The sequence below is a fragment of the Homo sapiens genome, chromosome 1, assembly GCF_000001405.40.
Source record: "Homo sapiens chromosome 1, GRCh38.p14 Primary Assembly".
Taxonomy (NCBI): Eukaryota; Metazoa; Chordata; class Mammalia; order Primates; family Hominidae; genus Homo; species Homo sapiens.
This window is the reverse complement of record NC_000001.11, coordinates 155,416,025-155,439,757: the sequence shown is the minus strand read 5'-3', so window position 1 is coordinate 155,439,757 and position 23,733 is coordinate 155,416,025. Positions and strand designations below refer to the sequence as shown.

General features: G+C 43.9%; 1 protein-coding gene and 2 pseudogenes across 17 annotated transcripts in view, besides 1 other annotated feature; 1 reads left to right on the top strand and 2 right to left on the bottom strand.

The window, feature by feature from the left end:
* Positions 1-23,733, top strand: part of ASH1L (ASH1 like histone lysine methyltransferase) — a 227,935-nt gene that overhangs the window by 123,445 nt on the left and 80,757 nt on the right. For 14 of the 16 annotated variants that reach the window (XM_047425248.1, XM_017001785.2, XM_006711450.4 and 11 more), the window contains one exon: positions 690-1,431. In XM_047425248.1, the coding sequence (XP_047281204.1) occupies positions 690-1,431 (742 nt within the window). Of the gene's footprint in view, positions 1-689; positions 1,433-23,733 lie in introns of those variants that run through there. The other 2 variants (XM_005245337.6, XM_011509769.4) reach the window with 2 other exon arrangements.
* On the bottom strand, positions 5,496-6,578 carry POU5F1P4 (POU class 5 homeobox 1 pseudogene 4; annotated as a pseudogene). The gene has a single exon (NR_034180.1). The product of NR_034180.1 is annotated as a POU class 5 homeobox 1 pseudogene 4 (transcript).
* Positions 20,258-20,361, bottom strand: RNU6-1297P (RNA, U6 small nuclear 1297, pseudogene; annotated as a pseudogene).
* Positions 22,942-23,445: an enhancer, noted in NCBI's record as "H3K27ac-H3K4me1 hESC enhancer chr1:155386104-155386607 (GRCh37/hg19 assembly coordinates)". NCBI's record gives its function as "activates a minimal SCP1, AML or CMV promoter by ChIP-STARR-seq in primed H9 embryonic stem cells {active_cell/tissue: H9 hESC(primed)}" and the evidence as "EXISTENCE:reporter gene assay evidence [ECO:0000049][PMID:30033119]".

The following is a 23,733-nucleotide window of genomic DNA, read 5'->3' as shown; positions in this document are numbered from 1 at the left end:
ATAGTAGTAAACTAGGCAGCATGGGAAGTGACTTATTTTGAACTGATTTTTAAATTATTAGTATTTTTTGAGACAGGGTCTCGCTCTGTCGTCCTGATTAGAGTGCAGTGACTCACTGCAGCCTCGACCTCCCAGGCTCAAGCAGTCTTCCCAACTTAGCCTCATAAATAGCTGTGACCATAGGTTTCAGCCAGCATGCCTGGCTAATTTTTTTATATTGTTTGTAGAGACATCTTCTTGCTATGTTCCTTAGGTTGATCTCGAATTCCTTAGCTCAGGCATTCCTCCTGCCTTGGCCTCCCAGAATACTGGGATTACAGACATGAGCCACTGTGCCCACTCTTTATCCAACATTTAAGTCCCTTAGCTTAACTGGACCTTAATTTATTTTTTATTTATTTTTTATTTTTGACCTTCATTTTTGAAGAATTAAATTTTTTTCTTTCTAATCCTTACCTCAAAGTGAGAGTTGTTCTTTTTAAATTTACATATTATTAGAGAAATATAGGCCAACTTTGGTTTTATCTTGTTGTAATAACCTTTTTCAGGAAAGTAAACCATCAATTTACCTATGATGTGTAATCTTGCTATGGAAAATAGAGTAGTACTCCCTTTTATCTGTGTAAAAACTTATTTAAATAACTAGCCGTGTCCAATTTTGTCTATGTGTGATTTATTGTCTCTTTCAGTAAACGGAGTTCCCTCTCGAAGTCCAAGATTAGTTGCTTCTGGGGATGACTCTGTGGATAGTCTGCTGCAGCGGATGGTACAAAATGAGGACCAAGAGCCCATGGAGAAAAGTATTGATGCTGTGATTGCAACTGCCTCTGCACCACCTTCTTCCAGTCCAGGCCGTAGCCACAGCAAGGACCGAACCCTGGGAAAACCAGACAGCCTTTTAGTGCCTGCAGTCACAAGTGACTCTTGCAATAATAGCATCTCACTCCTATCTGAAAAGTTGACAAGCAGCTGTTCCCCCCATCATATCAAGAGAAGTGTAGTGGAAGCTATGCAACGCCAAGCTCGGAAAATGTGCAATTACGACAAAATCTTGGCCACAAAGAAAAACCTAGACCATGTCAATAAAATCTTAAAAGCCAAAAAACTTCAAAGGCAGGCCAGGACAGGGAATAACTTTGTGAAACGTAGGCCAGGTCGACCTCGGAAATGTCCCCTTCAGGCTGTCGTATCAATGCAAGCATTCCAGGCTGCTCAGTTTGTCAACCCAGAATTGAACAGAGACGAGGAAGGAGCAGCACTGCACCTCAGTCCTGACACAGTTACAGATGTAATTGAGGCTGTTGTTCAGAGTGTAAATCTGAACCCAGAACATAAAAAGGGGTTGAAGAGAAAAGGTTGGCTATTGGAAGAACAGACCAGAAAAAAGCAGAAGCCATTACCAGAGGAAGAAGAGCAAGAGAATAATAAAAGGTAATTCCTCATTTAACATATTATCTGAGTAGAGGAAACTAGCTTTGAAAAACTGTAATGTAACTCTATAGCTGAATTATTTCATCTTATAACCTTTCATTTTTTACTATATGAGACCATTTCTTTTCAAAAACTGTTCTTATGTATTGCTTTTACAAGTTATAATTAAGAATCAGAGAGGCTAGGTGCAGTGGCTCACACCTGTAATCCCAGCACTTTGGGAGGCCGAGGTGGATGGATCACTTGAGGTGAGGAGTTCAAGACCAGCCTGGCCAACATGGTAAACCCTTTCTCTACTAAAAATATAAAAATTAGCTAGATGTGGCAGCGCATTCCTGTAATCCCAGCTACTCAGGAGGCTGAGGAGGGAGAATTGCTTGAATCCAGGAGGCTGCAGTGAGCCAAGATTGCACCGCTGCACTCCAACCTGGGCGACAGAGCGAGACCCTGTCTCAAAAACAAACACAAAAGAAGCAAAGGGCAAGTAACCATCCACTCTGAACCCACTCACTTTACAGACAAAGGAAATCAAGGCCCAGAAAGATTATGTATTTTATCCAATATAGAGATGTATGAGCTCTGTGATCATTTTATGTGCATACCACATTTTGCTTATCCATTCATCCATTGATGGATACCTGGGGTGTTTCCATGCCGTAACGCCGCTATGACAGCGGGTATACAAATACCTCTTTCAGACCCTGCTTTAACCTTGGGCATATTCTCAGAAGTGGAATTGCTGGATCATGTGACATTTCTATTTTTAATTTTTTGAGGAACTGCCATACTGTTTTCCAGAAGGGCTGTACCATTTTGCATGCACAAAGATTTCAGTTACAATGCACAAGGATTTCAGTTTACATCCTCACCAACACTTGCTATTTTCAATTTTTTTTTTATAGCAGCCATCCAAATGAGTATGAGATGGGTATCTCATTGTAGTTTTAATTTGCTGTTCCCTAATGATTAGTGACAAACATATTTTCATACGCTTATTGGCCATTTATGTATCTTTAGAGAAGTGTCTACTCAATCGCTTTTTCAATTTTTTGATTGGGCTATTTGGTTTGTTGTTGAGTTTTAGCAGTTCTCAATATATTCTGGATATTATTCTCTTAACCGGCATATAAGCAAATCTTTTCTCCTATTCTGTGGATTGCATTTTTACTTTGTTTATGCTGTCTTTTGACGTACAAAATTTTCTGATATCTATGAAGTCCAATTGTCTGTTTTATCTATAAAGCTATGGTAATCAAAACCGTATGGTAGTAGCATAAAGAGAGACATATAGACCAGCGAAGTAGAATAGAGAGCCCAGAAATAAAACCTTGCATGCATGGTCAGATGATTTTTGACAAAGGTGCCAAAACCATTCAGCAGGGTAAAAGACAGTCTTTTTGACAAATCATGCTGGGAAAACTGGGTATCTGCATGCAAAAGAATGAAGTTGTAGTCTTACTTTAAACCATATACAAAATCTAACTCAAAATGGATCAAAGATGTAAATGTAAAATCTAAAACCAGAAACTCTTGGCCAGGCGTGGTGGCTCACGCCTGTAATTCTAGCAGTTTGGGAGGCCAAGGTGGGCGGATCACGAGGTCAGGAGTTCAAGACCAGCCTAACCAACATAGTGAAACCCCGTCTCTACTAAAAATAGAAAAATTAGCCAGGCGTGGTGGTGTGTGCCTGTAATCCCAGCTACTTGGGAGGCTGAGGCAGGAGAATTGCTTGAACCCAGGAGGCGGAGGTTGTGATGAGCCGAGATTGCGCCACTGCACTCCAGCCTGGGTGACAAAGCGAGACTCCTTCTCAAAAAAAAAAAAAAAAAAAAAAAGTCCACGCATGGTGGCTCACGCCTGTAATCCCAGCACTTTGGGAGGCTGAGGCAGCTGGATCACCTGAGGGTCAGGAGTTCGAGACCGGCCTGATCAACATGGAGAAACCCCGTCTCTACTAAAAATACAAAATTAGCTGGGCATGGTGGCACATGCCTGTAATCCCGGCTACTCAGGAGGCTGAGGCAGGAGAATCCCTTGAACACGGGAGGTGGAGAGGTTGCAGTGAGCCGAGATTGCACCATCACACTCCAGCCTGGGCAACAAGAGCGAAACTTTGTCTCAAAATAAATAAATAAATAAATAAAAATAAAACTGTAAACTCTTAGGAGAAAATATAGGGCAAAAGCTTCACAGCATTGAATTTGGCCGTGATTTCTTAGATGTAATAACAAAGCCACAGGCAATAAACCATTCTTATTTTTATTTATTTATTTTTTGAGATGGAGTTTCACTCTGTCACCCAGCCTGGAGTGCAATGGCACGATCTCCACTCACTGCACCCTCCACCTCGTGGTTTCAAGTGATTCTCCTGCTTCAGCCTCTTGAGCAGCTGTGATTACAGGTGCGCACCACCATGCCTGGCTAATTTTTGTATTTTTAGTAGAGACGAGGTTTCACCATGTTGGCCATGCTAGCCTCGAACTCCTGACCTCAGGTGATCCACCCGTCTCAGCCTCCCAAAGTGCTGGGATTACAGGCGTGAGCCACCACGCCTGGCCCATATTTAATATTTTTTAATGAACCAATTTAATGTTCATCATTTATAAATGGCTTTTCTTAATGTGGCATGTTCACTCTTACTCATATTCTCTATCATCTCTCCTGGTGAATCCTGTATAGAGAGGGTTTTTTTTTTTTTCCATCCACCTATATAAAAATAATTGCTTTTTTCTAGAGAATATATTTTTTAATTTCAGGAGCAATACACGCTGGTAATAAATAATTTAATTAAACTAGTAGTTTACTGATTTAAAAGTAAAAGTCTCTTTTCACATGCTCTCACTTGCTCTTATCCCATTCTTCTCTCCATGGATAACGCTATTAACAGTACATTGTGTATTCTTTAATGCTGAGAGCTTGTCATCAGAACATACAGAATTACCTTATACTGTGGTAGGAATATATCATAATTTATGTAATTACACTGTTGTGATTGACTAGATCTTGCTTTTTTATATTTAGCTCTTTATGTCACTTATGTAATACTGAATATTAGCTATGAGTTAGAGGTTTAATTTTCTTTCAGTACTATTGATTAGTTTAGCCATTCCCAACTTATTTGGAATGATACATTTATCATACACTAAGTTTTTGTTGTTGCTGTTGTTGTTATTGTTTTTGAGACCGAGTCACCCAGGCTGGAATGCAGTGGCGCAATCTTGGCTCACTGCAACCTCTGTCTCCTGGGTTCAAGTGATTCTCATGCCTCAGCCACCCAAGTAGCTGGGATTACAAGCATGCGCCACCATGCCCAGCTAATTTTTGTATTTTTAGTAGAGACGGGGTTTCCCCATGTTGGCCAGGCTGGTCTTGAACTCCTGACCTCAAGTGATCCGCCTGCCTTGGCCTCCCAAAGTACTGTGATTACAGGCATGACTCACCACACCCAGCACTAAATTCTTTTTTTCTTTTTTTTTGAGACGGAGTCTCGCTCTGTCGCCCAGGCTGGTATACAGTGGCACAATCTCGGCTCACTGCAACCTCTGCCTCCCAGGTTCAAGTGATTCTCCTCCTGAGTAGCTGGGATTACAGGCGCACACCACCACACCACCATGCCTGGCTAATTTTTTTGTATTTTTAGTAGAGACGGGTTTTTACCATATTGGTCAGGCTGGTCTCAAACTCCTGACCTGATGATCCTCCCGCCTCGGCCTCCCGAAGTGCTGGGATTACAGGTGTGAGCTACGGCGCCCCACCATCCTAAATTCTTATATACTGTTAGATCTTAGGGTCTTTTCAATTTTTTTTTTTTTTTTTTTTTTTTACTGTGTCCCAGGCTTAAGAAAAAAGTGATACATGATGTGGGATTAAAATCAAGAACATCATTGAACTTCACCTTCCCTCCAACCAGTTGCCCCAAACTCCCCTGCCCCCACCCTTTGTGTTCCCAATTCCTTCCTTAGTGAATGAAGAACTTAATTCCAAAAGCCCTGGCACAAACTCCAGGTTCTCTTTCCCTAGCTCCTCCCCTCCCCCTGTCCCCCATTCCTAGAAGGGCAGGCACCTCAGTTTGAATGCATGGGAGAGCCCAGGGTGGTGACGGAGACGGGGGAAAGGCTTCCCCCTCAGGGAAAGGGACCGAGGAGTACAGTGCAGTGAAGTGAGGGCTCCCATAGCCTGGGGTACCAAAATGGGGCCCTGGGGCCAGAGGAAAGGATACTGGTACCCCTGAGAAAGGAGACCCAGCAGCCTCAAAATCCTCTCGTTATGCATAGTCGCTGCTTGATTGCTTGCCTTTCTGGCACCGGTTACAGAACCACACTCGGACCACATCCTTCTCGAGCCCAAGCTGCTGGGCGATGTGGCTGATCTGCTGCAGTGTGGGTTTCGGGCACTGCAGGAACAAATTCTCCAGGTTGCCTCTCACTCGGTTCTCGATACTGGTTCGCTTTCTCTTTCGAGCCTGCAAGAGGGTTTCTGCTTTGCATGTCTCCTGAAGATTTTCATTGTTGTCAGCTTCCTCCACCCACTTCTGCAGCAAGGGCCGCAGCTTACACATGTTCTTGAAGCTAAGCTGCAGACCCTCAAAGCGGCAGATGGTCGTTTGGCTGAACACCTTCCCAAATAGAACCCCCAGGGTGAGCCCCACATCGGCCTGTGTATATCCCAGGGTGATCCTCTTCTGCTTCAGGAGCTTGGCAAATTGTTCGAGTTCTTTCTGCAGAGCTTTGATGTTCTGGGACTCCTGCGGGTTTTGCTCCAGCTTCTCCTTCTCCAGTTTCACGGCACCAGGGGGGACGGTGCAGGGCTCCAGGGAGGTGCCATCGGAGTTGCTCTCCACCCTGACTCCTGCTTCGCCCTCAGGCTGAGAGGTCTCCAAGCCGCCTTGGGGCACTAGCCGCACTCCAACCTGAGGCCCACAGTACGCCATCCCCCCACAGAACTCATACAGCGGGGGGCATGGGGGAATCCCCCACACCTCAGAGCCTGACCCAACTCCCGGCCCGATTCCTGGCCCTCCAGGAGGGCCTTGGAAGCTTAGCCAGGTCCGAGGATCAACCCAGCCCGGCTCCGGCCCCCCTGGCCCATCACCTCCACCGCCTGGAGGGGGCAAGAAGGCAGGCATCCGAAGCCAGGTGTCCCGCCATGGGGAAGGAAGGCGCCCCAAGCTGGGGGCCTGGTGAAATGTCAAATATTTTTATATTCCTTTCTATCAGTCTATTTTGGTATCTCTGTCATAGCAGTTTAATTATTGAAGCTTTAAAACACTGACAAGGAGGATGATTTCTGCCTTTACTGTAGTTTGAGACATCTTGACCATTTATGTTAGGAAGGGTCATCTTTAAAATGTGCTTCAAGAAAAGGCTTTCATCAGCCTGGGTAACATGGTGAAACCCCGTCTTTACCAAAAAATACAATAAATTAGCTGGGCGTGGTGGTGTTGCACGCCTGTGGTCCCAGCTACTTGGGAGGCTGAGGTGGGGGGATCGCTTGAGCCAGGGAAGCAGAGGTTGCAGTGAGCCTAGATTGTACCACTGCACTCCAACCTGGATGACAGAGTAAGACTTCGTCTCAACAACGACAAAAAAGGCTTTTGAATAGGTTAGCCTTTCTATTCCAGCAAATTCTAGTATCATGGTCAGCAAAATTAAACACATACTTTTTCACAAGATTGTATTCTGAGATTTGAAGAGATTATAAAGAGAAAGATAAAATTTCTGCCCTCAAGAGATTGTGTAGGGAAGGACATGACACACTGAGTTCCCAGAGATAGCAACAGTTTTTCAACTTGTTCTAATTGGAGCTTACACTAGTACTTGTTATATAATATGTATTCATTTATTTTTTCAATTAGTATTTGTTGGAAGATTATTATGTTTCATGTACTTAGAATTGATAGAGTGGTGAATAAATCTAGAAACTTTTCCTACCTTCATGGATTTTAACCATCCAAGTGCTATTATGAAGAGTTACTTAGAGTTATAAGAGTACTGTATATAATAGAAATAACTAACTTAGTTTCCCAGAAAAAGTAAGGACTATGCTAAAAATGTGAAGAATAGGCTTCATCTGTTATTTAAAGGAGTGAGGAGAGAGCATACACAAAAGTCTGAAAAAGCATGATAGTTTCAGGCAAGCGAAAGAAAGCTTTTGTGGTCAAAACATGGAGTAGAGTAGCATGGGATACAGATAGAGGTTGTAGGGATCAGATTGTGCCAAGAACCTTGTATGATATATTAAAGATTTTGGTCACTATTTGTTGATTAATATAAAACCAGAATGCACAGGAAGAATTTAATGGTTATGAGGTGGGCTTCTAGACTCGGAAAACCTAGGTTCAAATCCTGGTTTTAAAAAGAAAAAGGTATATTTTTAAAACACTTATAAATTTTTGCTGTAAAAAATAAAATCAGGCCAGGTGTGGTGGCTCACACCTGTAATCCCAGCAGTTTGTCAGGCTGAGGCAGGAGGATCACTTGAGGCCAGGAGTTCAAGACAGCCTGAGCAGTGTGGCTGGTTGTAGCTACCGTTTCTACAAAGAACTGTTTGTTTGTTTGTTTATTTTAGACAGGGTCTTGCTGCGTCCCCCAGGCTGGACTACAGTGGCACAATCTCAGTTCACTGCAACCTCCACCTCCCGGGCTCAAGCGTCTCCACCCCCATCCCTCCCCCACAGTGGCTGGGACTGCAGGCGGGGGCCACCAGGCCTGGCTAATTTTTGTGTTTTTTGTAGAGATGGGGTCTCACTATGTTACCCAGGCTGGTTTTGAACTCCTGCACTCAAGCGATCCTCTCAACTTGACCTCCCAAAGTGCTAAGATTACAGGTGTGAGCACCGCACCTGGTCCATCTCTACAAAACATTTAAAAATTAAATGAGCGTGGTGGCTCGTGTCTGTGGTTCTAGCTACTTGGGAGGCTGAGGTGGGAGGATCACTTGCACTCAGGAGGTTGAGGCTGCAATGAGCTGTGTTCCTTCACTGCACTCCAGCCTTGGTGACAGAGTGTGACCTTGCCTCTAAAAATACATATATATTATAGCAAGACTTTGTCTCTAAAAATATGTATCTTATAATGTATATTATATGTAAATATTATATATATATATATTTTTGTTGTTGTTGAGACGGCATCTTGCTCTGTTGCCCAGGCTGGAGTACAATGGCTTGGCTCACTGCAACCTCCACCTCTTGGGTTCTAGCGATTTTCCTGCCTCAGCCTCTGGAGTAGCTGGGATTACAGGTCCTGCCACCATGCCCGGCTAATTTTTGCATTTTTAGTAGAGACAGGGTTTCACCATATAGGCCAGGGTGGTCTCGAACTCCTGACCTCAAGTCTGCCCACCTTGGCCTCCCAAAGTGCTGGGATTACAGGCGTGAGCTACCACACCTGACCGAAAAAAATTGTTAAGAGCTTGCTGGCCACACCAATAGTCTCAGCTACTCTGGAGGCTGAGGCTGGAGGATTGGTTGAACCCAGGAGTTTGAGACCAGCTTGGGCAATGGCAAAACCCTATTTCTAAAAACAATTTTATGAAAATAAGAAATTAAAAGAACAAGTGAATGAGCCTGAAAATGATATTGGAAGAATGTAAAACATACACCTTAAGTTAATAAAATAAGGCAAATGTATAACAGTAAGAGTCACTTTTAAGACCAAAGTTCTTTGAAAACTAATAAAATAGACAAACTTCTGGTAAAGCCGATCAATAGGAATGAGAAAGGGAATAAATAGGGATTTAAAAGGAAATAAAGTGTATATAAGAGATTAAAAATTTACTACTGTGAGAACTTTAAGCCCATCAAATGGGAAAACTGTTGAAATGGACATGTTCCTAGAAAAATACAATTTTAACAAAACATACTCAAAAGAAATTACCTGAGCACTCCTATTGCCTAAATTGAATCTATTATTTAAAGTCTTGCCCCAAGAACAGCATCAGACCCAATTTTAACTTCTACCACACTTTCAAGAAAAATATTATTCCCATCTCATTAAAGAGAATATGGGCTGCAAACAGAAGAGGATACATCTAAAGAGAATACATAAACAGGCCAGATGAGGTGGCTCACACCTGTAGTCCCAGCATTTTGGGAGGCAGAGGCAGGAGTATTGCTGGAGCCCAGGGGTTGAAGACCACCCTGGGCAACATAGGGAAACTCCATCTCTACAAAAAACTTAAAAATCAGCCAAGTGTGGTGGCGCATGCCTGTAATCCCAGCTACTCGGGAGGCTGAGGCAGGAGAATTGCTTGAACCTGGCAGGCGGAGGTTGCAGTGAGCTGAGATCGCATCAGTGCGCTCCAGCCTGGGCGACAGAGTGAGACTCTGTCTCAAAAAAAAAAAAACTTAAAAATCAGCTGGACGTGCTGATGTGTGCCTGTAGTCCCAGCTACTAGGGAGGCTGAGGTGTTAAGGGATTGCTTGAGCTTGTCCAGGAGGTCGAGGCTACAGTGAGCCATAATCGTGCCACCACATTCCATCCTGGGTGACAAAGCGAGAACCTGTCTTAAAAAACAAATAAGAGACAAACAAGAGAATACATAACATAAGCTAAGTAAATTTTCTGTAGAGGTCGTACCCATATAAATATTCAGGAGGTGACCATACTTTCCCTGTTTGTAAACCCCTTTTCTTGCCAGAAGCTATAACCAATCTTCTGACTTTTAAGGTAACCACATATTTACCTTTTAAAATACTATTTATGTGTGCAGCTCTAAACAATACAGCTTATTCTTCCTGAATTTCATGTAAATCTAATTATACAGGTTGGGTGCCATATCATGCCTGTAATTTCAGCAATTTTGGAAGCCGAGGCGTGTGGATCGCTTGAACCCAGGAGTTTGAGAGTAGCCTAGGCAACATCGTCTCTACTAAGAATACAAAAAGTTAGCCAGTTGTGGTAGCACACGCCTGTAGTCCTAGCTACTCAGGAAGCCAAGTGGGAGAATCACTTGAGCCCAGGAGGTAGAGATTGCAGTGAGCCAAGATCACATCACTGCAATCCACCCAGGGTGACAGAGTGAGACCCTGTCTCAAAAAAGCAAAAACAAACAAACAAAATTAATTACAGAGGACATATACTATTGTGTCTCACCTTTTTTTGCTCAACATAGTCATGTTAAATTATGTATGTTAATGCATGTTGCTGTAGTTTTAATGTGTTGTTTCATTGTTTGTGTGTAATACAGTTCTTCGATTTTACTCTTGGATTATTTTCAACTTGAGGTTATTGCCCAAAAAAACTGCTTTTAATATTCCTCTAATGTCCACTGGTGGATATGGACACTAATTTCTCTAAAGCATTGTATATATATATATGCCGAGACCAGCTCGGTCGGGGAGACCCTAACCCAGTGGCGCTAGAGGAATTAAAGACACACACACAGAAATATAGAGGTGTGAAGTGGGAAATCGGGTCTCACAGCCTTCAGAGCTGAGAGCCCCGAACAGAGATTTACCCGCGTATTTATTAACAGCAAGCCAGTCATTAGCATTGTTTCTATAGATATTAGATTAACTAAAAGTATCCCTTATGGGAAACGGGATTAACTAAAAGTATCTCTTATGGGAAACAAAGGGATGGGCCGAAATAAAGGGATGGGTTTGGCCAGTTACCTGCAGCAGGAGCATGTCCTTAAGGCACAGATCGCTCATGCTATTGTTTGTGGTTTAAGAACGCCTTTAAGCGGTTTTCCAGCCTGGGTGGGCCAGGTGTTTCTTGCCCTTATTCTGGTAAACCCACAGCCTTCCAGCGTGGGTGTCATGGCCATCATGAACATGTCACAGTGCTGAAGAGATTTTGTTTATGGCCAGTTTTGGGGCCAGTTTATGGCCAGATTTTGGGGGGCCTGTTCCCAACATATATATATATATTTTTTTTTTTGAGACGGAATTTCATTGTTGTCGCCTAAGCTAGAGTGCAGTGGCACAATCTCGGCTTACTGCAACCTCCATCTCCTGGGTTCAAGCAATTCTCCTGCCCTCAGTCTCCCGAGTAGCTGGGATTAGAGGCGCCCACCACCACACCCGGCTAATTTTTTTGTACTTTTAGTAGAGACGGGGTTTCACCATGTTGGTCAGGCTGGTCTTGAACTCCTGACCTCAGGTGATCCACCTGCCTTGGCCTCCCAAAGTGCTGGGATTACAGGCGTGAGCCACTGCACCCAGACTTAAGGCATTATACTAATTTGTTCTCACATTGCTATAAATACCTGAGACTGGGTAATTTATAAAGAAAAGAGGTTTAATTCGTTCATGGTCCTGCAGGCTGTATAGTAAGCATGATGCTGGCATCTCCTAGGCTTCTGGGGAGGCTTCAGGAAACTTACAGTCATGGGGAGTATACTGGTTACAGGGCTAGAGCAGGAGCAAGAAGGAGAAGGACGAAGTGCCATACACTTTTTAAAGCACCAGATCTCAACAGAACTCACTCACTATGGCAACGACAGCATCGGGGGATGGTGCTAAACTGCTTAAGAGAAAACCACCCCCATGGTCCAGTCACCTCCCACCAGGTCTCACCACCAATATTGGTGATTACATTCCAGCGTGAGATGTGGGCAGGGCGCACATCCAAACTGTATCAGGGGCCGGGTGCAGTGGCTTGTGCCTGTAATCCCAGCAATTTGGGAGGCCGAGGTGGGTGGATCACCTGAGGTCAGGAGTTTAAGACCAGCCTGGCCAACATAGTGAACACCCATCTCTACTAAAAATAGAAAAATTAGCCGGGCGCAGTCGCTCTTGCCTGTAATCCCAGCATTTTGGGAGGCCGAGGTGGGCGGATCACCTGAGGTCAGGAATTTGAGACCAGCCTGGCCAACACGGCGAAACCCTGTCTCTACTAAAAAGTACAAAAATTAGCCAGGTGGTGGGCGCCTATAGTCCCAGCTACTCAGGAGCCTGAGGCAGGACAATCGCTTGGACCCGGGAGGCGGAGGTTGCAGTGAGCCGGGATCTGGCCACTGCACTCCAGCCTGGGCAACAAGAGCGGGACTCCATCTCAAAAAAAAAAAGAAAAATTAAAATTAGCCAGGTGTGGTGCTGCATGCCTGTAATCCCAGCTACTCATGAGGCTGAGGCAGCAGAATTGCTAGAACCTTGGAGGTGAAGGTTGCAGTGAGCTGAGATCAGACCACTTCACTCCAGCCTGGGTGACAGAGCGAGACTCTGTCTCAAAAAAAAAAAAAAAAAAAATTATATCAGAGTATATACCTGGAAAGGTAATTACTGAATAAAATAAAGGATTTGTCCCAAGACTTAATTTCAAGCTATGGAGTATTAAGGTGGTGTGGAATTGAATAGATAAAAGAAACAGACCTACACATATATGGAAGCTTGCTGGGTAACAGAGGCATATAAAGAACTGTTCAACAAATTGTGCCCAGTAAGTTGAAATCCCTGGGGATCAGAAGGAAATTGGATTCTGTCTTATCCTCTATACAAAAAATCAACTCCCAGTTGATTAAATACAGTTGACCCTTGAACAACACAGATTTGAGATTTGCGATACTTAAACTCACAGATGAACTGTGTAGCCTAGAAAAAAATTTTTTAGTTTTTAATTTTTATTTTTTGTGGATACATAGTAGGTGTAGCCTAGAAATAGTCAAAAAAATTAAAAAGTATGTCATGAACGGATAAAATATTTGTAGATGTTAATCCATTTTATTGTTTGCAGAAAGACATAAGATATACACAAATCTATTATAAAAAGTTAAAATTTCACTGGGAGTCTGATGTGGGCAGATCACCTGAGGTCAGAAGTTCGAGACTATCCTGGCCAACATGGTGAAACCCTATCTCTATTAAAAATATAAAAATTAATGGGCCAGGCGCGGTGTCTCACGCCTGTAATCCCAGCACTTTGGGAGGCCGAGGCGGTCGGATCACGAGGTCAGGAGATCGAGACCATCCTGGCTAACACGGTGAAACCCCGTCTCTACTAAAAAATACAAAAAGCTGGGTGCGGTGGCTCATGCCTGTAATCCTAGCACTTTGGGAGGCCAAGGCAGGTGGATTGCTTGAGCTCAGGAGTTCGAGACCAGCCTGGGCAACATGGTGAAACCCCATCTCTACTAAAATACAAAAAAAAAAATTAGCCGGGCATGATGGCACACTCCTGTAATCCCAGCTACTAGGGAGGCTGAGGCAGGAGAATCACTTGAACCTGGGAGGCAGAGGTTGCAGTGAGCCAAGATCGTGCCATTGCACTCCAGCCTGGGTGACAGAGTGAGACCCTGTCTTAAAAAATAAATAAATAAATAAATAAAATTAGCCGGGCATGGTGGCAGGCGCCTGTAGTCCCAGCTACTTGGGAGGCTGAGGCAGGAGAATGGCGTGAACCCAGGAGGCAGAGCTTGCAGTGAGCCGAGATCGCGCCACTGCACTGCAGCCTGGGTGACAGAGCGAGACTCCGTCTCAAAAAAAAAAAACACCACAAAAAAAATTAGGCCAGGCATGGGGGCTCCCACCTGTAATCCTGGTACTTTGGGAGGCTGAGGTGGGTGGATCACCTGAGGTCAGGAGTTCGAGCCAGCCTGGCCAACGTGGTGAAACCTCTTCTCTACTAAAAATAAAAAAATTAGCCCTGCTTGGCCGGGTGTGGTGGCTCACGCCTGTAATCCCAGCACTTTGGGAGGCCAAGGCAGGCAGATCATGAGGTCAGGAGTTCAAGACCAGCCTGACCAACATGGTGAAACCTGGTCTCTACTAAAAATACAAAAAATTAAGCATGGTGGCACATGCCTGTAATCCCAGCTACTTAGGAGTCTGAGGCAGGAGAATCGCTTGAACCCAGGAGGCAGAGATTGCAGTGAGCCAAGATCGCACCATTGCACTCCAGCCTGGGCAACAGAGCGAGACTCCACCTCAAAAAAAAAAAAAATAGCCCTGCATGATGGTGAGTGCCTGTAATCCCAGCTACCTGGAGGCTGAGGCAGGAAAATCACTTGAACCCAGGAGGCAGAAGCTGCAGTGATCCGAGATCGCGCCACTGCACTCCAGCCTGGGCGACAGAGGAAGACTCTGTCTCAAAAAAAAAAAAAAAAAACTAGGCCGGGCGTGGTGGCCCATGCCTGTAATCCCAGCACTTTTGGGAGACCAAGGTGGGTGGATCACTTGAGGTCAGGAGTTCGAGTTCGAGACCAGCCTGACCAACATGGTGACCCTGTCTCTACTAAAAATACAAAAATTAGCCGGGCATGGTTGTGCATGCCTTTAATCACAGCTACTGAGGAGGCTGAGGCAGGAGAATAACTTGAACCTGGGAGGCGGAGATTGCAGTGAGCTGATGTTGCTCCAATGCACTCCAGCCTGGCCACAGAGTAAGGCTCTGTCTCAAAAAAAAAACACAAAAACTAGCCAGGTGAGGTGGTGGGTGTCTATACTCCCAGCTACTTGTGAGGCTGAGGCAGAATCATTTGAACCCTGGGTAGCGAAGGTTGCAGTGAGCCAACATCATGCCATTGCACTCCAGCCTGGGCAAAAAAGCAAGACTCTGTCTCAAATAAAAAGTTAAAATTTATCAAAATTTACAAACACAAACTATACATGACGCCATTCTCAGTTATGAGAAATGTAAACAAAGACATACAGCATTAATCATAAAATTAACTGTAATAGGCCGAGCATGGTAGTTTATGCTTGTAATTCCAGGACTTTGGGAGGCCAAGGCAGGCGGATCACCTGAGGTTGGGAGTTGGAGACCAACCTGACCAACATGGAGAAACCCCGTCTCTACTAAAAATACAAAATTAGCCCGGCGTAGTGGCGCATGCCCGTAATCCCAGGTACTCGGGAGGCTGAGGCAGGAGAATCGCTTGAATCCAGGAGGCGGAGGTTGCAGTGAGCCGAGATCGCACCATCTCACTCCAGCGTGGACAACAAGAGCGAAACTCTGTCTCAAAAAAAAAAAAACTGTAATACATACTGTACTACTGTAATAATTTCATAGCCACCTCTTGTTGTTATTGCAATGAAGAAAGTGTTGCCAGAATCCACTTCAAAGCCATATGACACTAATCATCTCCAAGTGAGCAGTTTACTGGAATCTCTCCAGTAAATTACGTATCACAGTACAAAGTGATCTCTTGAAGTTCTTTATTTCTCATCGTTTTTACTACGATTCCATAAACCTTGAATGACCCTATGAGACCTATATGAAGTGCCATTAGTGATGTTAGAAGGGCTTCCAAGAACAAGAGAAAAGTCATGGCATTACAAGAAAACAAAAAGTTGAACTGCTTGATATGTACCATAGATTGGGGTCTGCAGCTGTGGTTGCCCACCATTTCAAGATAAATGGGCCGGGCACGGTGGCTCGCACCTATAATCCCAGCACTTTGGGAGGCCGAGGCAGGCGGATCATGGGGTCAGGAGTTCGAGACCAGCCTGGCCGACATGGTGAAACCCTGTCTCTACTAAAAATACAAAAAATTAGGAGTGGTGGCGGGCGCCTGTAATCCTAGCTACTCCGGAGGCTGAGGCAGGTTAATTGCTTGAACCTGGGAGGTGGAGGTTGCAGTGCGCCGAATCACGCCATTGCATTGCAGCCTGAGCGAGAGACTGAGACTCCGTCTCAAAAGAAGAAAGATAAATGAATCTAGCATAAGGACTTGAAAAAAGAAAAGGAATTTTGCAAAGCCATCACCGTAGCTGTGCCAGCAAGTGCGAAAACTTAGTACTTTTTCCAAGGTATCTTTTTATCTCATATTGAAAATGCAGGGGTTTTTTTGTTTTTGTTTTGTTTTGTTTTGTTTTTGAGACAGAGTCTTGCTCTGTCGCCAGGCTGGAGTGCGGTGGCACGATCTTGGCTCACTGCAACCTCTGCCTCCCGGGTTCCAGCAATTCCCCGACGTCAGCCTCCCGAGTAGCTGGGACTACCACCGCACCCGGCTAATTTTTTGCATTTTAGTAGAGACGGGGTTTCACCATGTTGGCCAGGATGGTCACAATCTCCTGAACTCGTGATCTGCCTGCCTCGGCCTCCCAACGTGCTGGGATTACAGGTGTGAGCCACCATGCCTGGCCGAAAATGCAGTTTTTATGTGGATGCAGGATTGCCTTAAAAAAGCATACATGTCCAGGCGTGGTGGCTCACGCCTGTAATCCCAACACTTTGGGAGGCCGAGGTGGGTAGATCACCTGAGGTCAGGAGATTGTGATCAGCCTGGCCAGCATGACGAAACACTGTCTCTACTAAAAATGCAAAAATTAGCTGGGCATGGTGGTAGGTACCTGTAATCCCAGCTACTCGGAAGGCTAAGGCAGGGAGAGTTGCTTGAGCCTGGGAGGCAGAGCTTACAGAGAGCCGAGATCGCACCACTGCACTCCAGCCTGGGCAACAAAGCGAGACTCCGTCTGAAAAAAAAAAAAAAGAAAGGCCAGCTCAATGGCTCACGCCTGTAATCCCAGCACTTTGGGAGGCCGAGGCAGGCGATCATTTGAAGTCAGTAGTTCAAGACCAGCCTGGTCAACATGGTGAAACCTGTCTCTATTAAAAACACAAAAAAATAGCCAGGCGTGGTAGCGGGTGCCTGTAGTCTCAGCTCTTCAGGAAGCTGAGGCAGGAGAAATCGCTTGAACCCAGGAGGTGGAGGCTGCAGTGAGCCGAGATCACGCCACTGCACTCCAGCCTCAGCGGCAGAGTAAAACTCAGTCTCAAAAAAAAAAAAACAGAAAGAAAAAGAAAAAATCAAGGTAAAAGGAGAAGCTTCTGCCAACCAAGAGGCAGTAGACAAGTTCCCAGATGCTATTAAGAAAATCATTAGCAGCCGGACGCAGTGGCTCATGCCTGTAATCCCAGGCATGCCTCCCACTTTGGGAGGCAGAGGCATGTAAATCATCTGAGGTCAGGAGTTCAAGAGCAGCCTGGCAAACATGGTGAAACCCCGCTTCTACTAAAAATACAAAAATTAGCAGACCCTGGTGGCCCGGAGGTTGCAGTGAGGCGAGATCATGCCATTGCACTCCAGCCTGGGCTACAAGAGCAAGATGCCATCTCAAAAAAAAAAAAAAAAAAAAAATTAGCTGGGCGTGGTGGTGTGACCCTGTAATCCCAGCTACTCGGGAGGCTGAGGCAGGAGAATCGCTTGAACCCAGGAGGTAGGGTTGCAGCGAGCCGAGATCGTGCCACTGCACTCCAGCCTGGTTGACGGAATGAGACTCTGACTCAAAAAAGAATAAAAGTGAAGTAAGCCAGACACAAGTGGACATATATTTTATGATTCCACTAGTATGAGGAACCTGGAATAGACAAATTCATACAGGCGGAAAGTAGAATATTGGTTATTAGGGGTTGGAGGGAGGATGGAATAGAGTTTTTCTTTAATAGGATCAGTTATTCTGTCTGGGAGGATGAAAAAGATGTGGAGATGGATGGATACTGGTGATGGTTGTACAACAATGTGAATGTACTTTGATGTCACTGAACTGTCCAGACCACTTAAAATGGTTTAAAAGGTAGATATTATGGTATATGCATTTTACCACAATTTTTCAAAAAAAAAATTAGTCATATGTGTATCTATTTCTACACTCTATTACGTTGTTCTACATTTATTTTGTGTAGCTAGTATCACATTGTCCTGATTACAATACATTTACAGTAAGTCTTGAAATTAGATAAATCCTCCAATTTTTTTTTAGTTTTTTTTTTTGAGATGGAGTCTTGCTCTGTCGCCCAAGATGGAGTGCAGTGGCGTGATCTCGGCTCACTGCAACCTCTGCCTCCCGGGTTCATGCCATTCTCCTGCCTCAGCCTCCCGAGTAGCTGGGACTACAGGCACCCACCACCATGCCCGGCTATTTTTTCTATTTTTAGAAGAGACGGGGTTTCACCGTGTTAGCCAGGATGGTCTCAATCTTCTGATCTCGTGATCCACCTGCCTCGGCCTCCCAAAGTGCTGGAATTACAGGCGTGAGCCACCATGCCTGGCCTTAGGTTTTGTCTTTCCATAGCAATTTGTGAATTATCTTGGCATTTTCTCAAAAAAAAAAAAAAAAAAAAAAACTGTTGGTACTTGAGATTGTGTTAGATCTATAGATCAGTTTGGGGGAAAGTTGCAATCACCAACTTTTTTTTTTTTTTTTTTTTTTTAAGACACAGAATCTTCCTCTGTTGCCCAGGCTGGAGTGCAATGGCTTACTGTCAGCCTTGACCTCCTAGGTTTAAGCAGTCTTCCCACTTTAGCCTCTTCAGTAGCTGGGACTACAAGTGTAAGCCATCACACCTGGCTAGTTTTTTAAAATTTTTTGCAAAGATGGGGTCTGACTATGTTGCCTCGGTTGGTCTCCAACCTCTGGGCTCAAGTGATCCTCCTGCCTCAGCCTCCCAAAGTGCTGGGATTACAGGTGAAAGCTGCCAAGCCTGGACAGAAATTGCCATCTTAATGACATTCAGTGTTTAATTCCATGGACATCCATGGACATGGTATGTTACTGCATTTATTTTAGGTTATCTTTGATTTTTTTTTTTTTTTTAATGGAGCCTTGCTCTGTCACCTAGGCTAAAGTGCAGTAGTGCGATCTTGGCTCACTGCAACCTCCACCTCCCGGGCTCAAGTGATTCTCCTGCCTCAGCCTCCCGAGTAGCTGAGGTTACAGGTGCCTGGCACCATGCCTGGCTAATTTTTATATTTTAGTAGAGATGGAGTTTCACCATGTTGGCCAGGCTGGTCTCAAACTCCTGACCTCAAGTGATCCACCTACTTCGGCCTCCCAAAGTGCTGGGATTACAGGCATGAGCCACCACACCTGGCCTTTTTTTTTTTAAATTCATTGTTTTGTTTATACTCTTATGTACTGCATGTATTTGTTAGATTTATATTTTGGTTTTCTTTTAAATTTGTACTTTATTATATTTATACATTTATAAAGAAATTATATTTCTGTATTATTTTGTTTGATTTATATCTAAGCATTTAATGCTTTTCTTGTTTTTTTGTTTTTGTTTTTTTTTTTTTTTGAGATGGAGTCTCATTCTGTTGCCCAGGCTGGAGTGTTTTTTTTTGAGATGGAGTCTCATTCTGTTGCCCAGCCAAGATGGAACCATTTTGGCTCAATTCAACCTCCACCTCCTGGGTTCAAGCGATTCTCCTGCCTCAGCTTCCTGAGAAGCTGGGACTACAGGTGTGTGCCACCACACCCAGCTAATTTTTGTATTTTGTATTTTAAGTAGAGACGGGGTTTCACCATGTTCACCAGGCTGGTCTCAAACTCCTGACCTTAGGTGGTCCGCCCGCCTCATCCTCCCACAGTGTTGGGATTATAGGAGTGAGTCACCCTGCCTGGCTACTATTCTACTGTTTAAGTAGCATTGTTTAATTTTGATTTCAGTTTTCTCATTGATAGAACATACAAATACAGTTGAATTTGACCTTGGATTCTGCAACATTGTTGTGTATTTCACTAATTGTAGTACTTTCTCTTTTGTAGAGTCTTTGGGTGTTTTTATATAGACAATCACACAATGTGTGAGTAGAGATAGTTTGTAATTCTTCCTTTTCAATATTGTTTTCTTTTTCTGGCCTTTTTGCACTGGCTAGGACCTCTGTTATGATACTGAACATATATGATGAAAGCATATGTTTGCCTTGTCCTTAATAATAGGGAAACTTTATGCAATTTAACCTGTACATATGAGGCAAATCAAATATCTGGGAAACTTCCTGCCTGGTCATTGCCAGTACATTTGCTTATGTTTATTTTATAGACAATTTCCAGAGTTTTTAGTTGTACTTAGTAAAATGAGAGGTAGATGTGCATCTGTTCGATTTTTGTGTGGAACAAGAATCACCTGTATTATTTTTTAAGTAAAATGCTTTGTTTAAAAATATGGAACACTTCACAAGTTTGCATATCATTCTTGCACCAGGGCCATGCTCATCTCTGTATTGTTCCAATTTTAGTATATGTGCTGCTGAATCAAGCACATCTTTTTTTTTTTTTAATGTTTTTGTTTTATTTTGATTTCTATTTTGATAAGCTTCCCCTTTGCCTCTCCTTTTAACACTGTTTGATGTCATTACATTGTCTTCTGGTTTGCACTGTTTTGGATATGAGATCTAAACTTTTTTATTATTATTATTTTTTTAAGAAATGGGTCTTGCTATGTTGCCCAGGCTGGTCTTGAACTCCTGGGCTCAAGCAATCCTCCTGCGTCAGCCACACAAAGTGCTGGGATTACAGGCATGAGCCACTGTGCTCGGCCCCTTTTTATAACGTGTGTTTTCTCTTTAGCTGCTGCTTTTTTGTTTAATTAATTAATTTATTTATTTATTTGCCCTCCCAGGCTGGAGTGCAGTGGTGCGATCTCAGCTCACTGCAAGCTCTCGGGTTCACACCATTCTCCTGCCTCAGCCTCCCGAGTAGCTGGGACTACAGGCACCCACCACCACGCCTGGCTAATTTCTTTTTTATTTTTAGTAGAGTCGGGGTTTCGCCGTGTTAGCCAGGATGGTCACAATCTCCTGACCTCGTGATCCACCCACCTCGGCCTCCCAAAGTGCTGGGATTACAGGCGTGAGCCACTGCGCCCAGCCTCTTTAGCTTCTTTTGTTTTCTTCATCAGTAGTTTTTAACAAGTTTATTACGATATACTGGACCTTGTTTTATTTATCCTGCCTATGGTTTGCTTACTTTCTTCTAACTCTGAGGTTATGCTTTTTATCATTTTGGGAAACTTTTTAGCCATAATTCTCAATTTTTTTCATTGTGAATTTTTTATTTTGTGAATGTTACATCATTGTATATCTGGTTTTTGTTGTTTTCCTTTACAAGTGTCCAATTGTTTTAGTAGTAAGTTTTCTCCTTTCCCGGGATTCTAAGATTCTGTTAGTATTATATTCTTTACATAATTTATTCTTTTCTTTAATCTCTATCAGTTTGTGTTGTTTCTATTGCTGTCTTCAAGTTCACTGATCTCCAGTGCCTTATTTGCTGTTAAGTACTCTCCAGTTTTTCATTTCAGATTTCGTATTTATCAATTCTCAATATTCCTTTTGTTGTTGTTGTTAAGTCTTCTCTTCCTCTCCTCATTATCTTTGTATTTTCTTCTAAATTCCTGATTTATGCTTGTAGAGTAGTATTTTAAAGTTATTTTCTTTTCTATCTTTGTGATTTCTATTTCTGTTGCTGTTTCTACTGAATGATTTTTTCCCCTGGGTCACATTTTCCTGCATTTTGGCATATGTAGGAATTTATTATTGGATGCAAGACATTGTGATGTCGCATTATTGTATGTCTGGTTTTTGTTGGTTTCCTTTACAAATATTCAATTTTATTTTGGTAGGCAGTTAAGTTACTTATGGATCAGTTTGGATTCTCATATTGTTTTTAAACTTAGCTAAGGCTAGTCTTTTTTTTTTTTTTGAGACGGAGTTTTGCTCTTGTCACCCAGGCTGGAGTGCAATGGCGCTATCTGGGCTCACCACAACCTCCGCCTCCCAGGTTCAAGCGATTCCCCTGCATCAGCCTCCCGAGTAGCTGGGACTACGGGCTTGCACCACCACACCCGCCTAATTTTGTATTTTTAGTAGAGACGGGGTTTCTCCATGTTGGTCAGGCTGGTCTTGAACTCCCGACCTCAGGTGATCCGCCTGTCTCAGCCTCCCAAAGTGCTGGGATTACAGGCGTGAGCCACTGCGCCCCACCAGTGAAGGCTAGTCTTCCTTTCAGGATAATTAAGCCCTCTAACAGTGGATAACATTACCCTCTGGGCTTGCTGTTTAATGTCCCCTATTGTTGAACAATGTCTTTCTACTTTGCCTAATGGAATGAGTATCTGCCATCATGTGTGAGTTGTGTGAATTGCTCAGGTTACAGTTTTCTGGTAGTTCCTTGTTCAGCCATATGGAATTTCACCCTTCACATGCACAACGTAGTGTTTAGCAGTATACTAAAAGAGACACCCATAGTTAGATTTCTAGAGTTATAATTCTCCATAGGTTTTTCCATTCTGATACTCATTTCCACAAATTCCAGCTATCTCAGTCCCTCTGTACTCTGATATATCCCTTTTCAGCTCATCAGTTTGGCCATTCTCTGCTTGGTTTCTACTTCTGCACCACAGTCATTCTTAGAAAGGCAAGGTGGAGGCTGGGCGTGATGGCTCACGCCTGTAATCCCAACCCTTTGGGAAGCTGAGGTGGGCAGATCACCTGAGATCAGGAGTTCAAGACCATCCTGGACAGCATGGTGAAACCCTGTCTGTACTAAAAATACAAAAAAAATAAGCTGGGTGTGGTGGCACATGCCTGGAATCCCAGCTACTCAGGAGGCTGAGGTAGGAGAATCTCTTGAACCCAGGAGGCGGAGGTTGCAGTGAGCCGAGATCACACCACTGCACTCCAGCCTGGGAGACAGAGCAAGTCTCCGTCTCAAAAAAGAAAAAAAAAAAAGAAAAGGAAAGAAAAGAAAAAGAAAGGAAGGAAGGAGGGAAGGTGGGTGGGAGGGAAGGAAGGAAAGGAAGAAAAGGAAGGAAAGGAAAGGCAAGGTGGGGCTGGGCACAGTGGCTCATGCCTGTAATCCCAGCACTTTGGGTGGGCGGATTACCTGATGTTAGGAGTTTGAGACCAGCCTGGCCAACATGGTGAAACTAAAAACCGTCTCTACTAAAAATACAAAAATTATCCAGATGTGGTTACAGGCGCCTGTAATCCCAGCTATTCAGGAGGCTGAGGCAGGAGAATCGCTTCAACCCAGGAAGCAGAAGTTGCAGTGAGATGAGATCATGCCACTGCACTCCAGCCTGGGCAACAGAGCGAGACTCCATCTCAATAAACAAAAAAAGATAAAAGAAAGGCAAGGTGGTTGTGTGACTCACCGCATTTTTTTCAGATTTCTCAGGGATAACAGTGCTGCATTAACTGTTGTCCAGTATCTGATAATAATTGTCTTTTAAAATTTTCTCATGCCGGGCACGGTGGCTCATGCCTATAATCCCAGCACTTGGGAGGCCAAGGCAGGTGGATTACTTGAGGTCAAGAGTTGAAGACCAGCCTAGCCAACATGGCAAAACCCGTCTCTACTAAAAATACAAAACTGGTGGCGTGCCCCTGTAATATCAGCTACTCGGGAGGCTGAGGCAGGAGAATTGCTTGAACCCAGAAAGCGGAGGTTGCCTTGAGCCAAGATTGTGCCCCTGCACTCCAGCCTGGGTGACAGAGAAAGATTCCGACTCAAAAAATAAAATAAAATAAAATTTTCTCTAAGTATCTAGTAGACTACCATATTTCTATTACTTCTTGTCAGGAGAAGTCTGGTACCAGTTATTTAAACATGGCCAGATAAGGAAGTCCCCATAT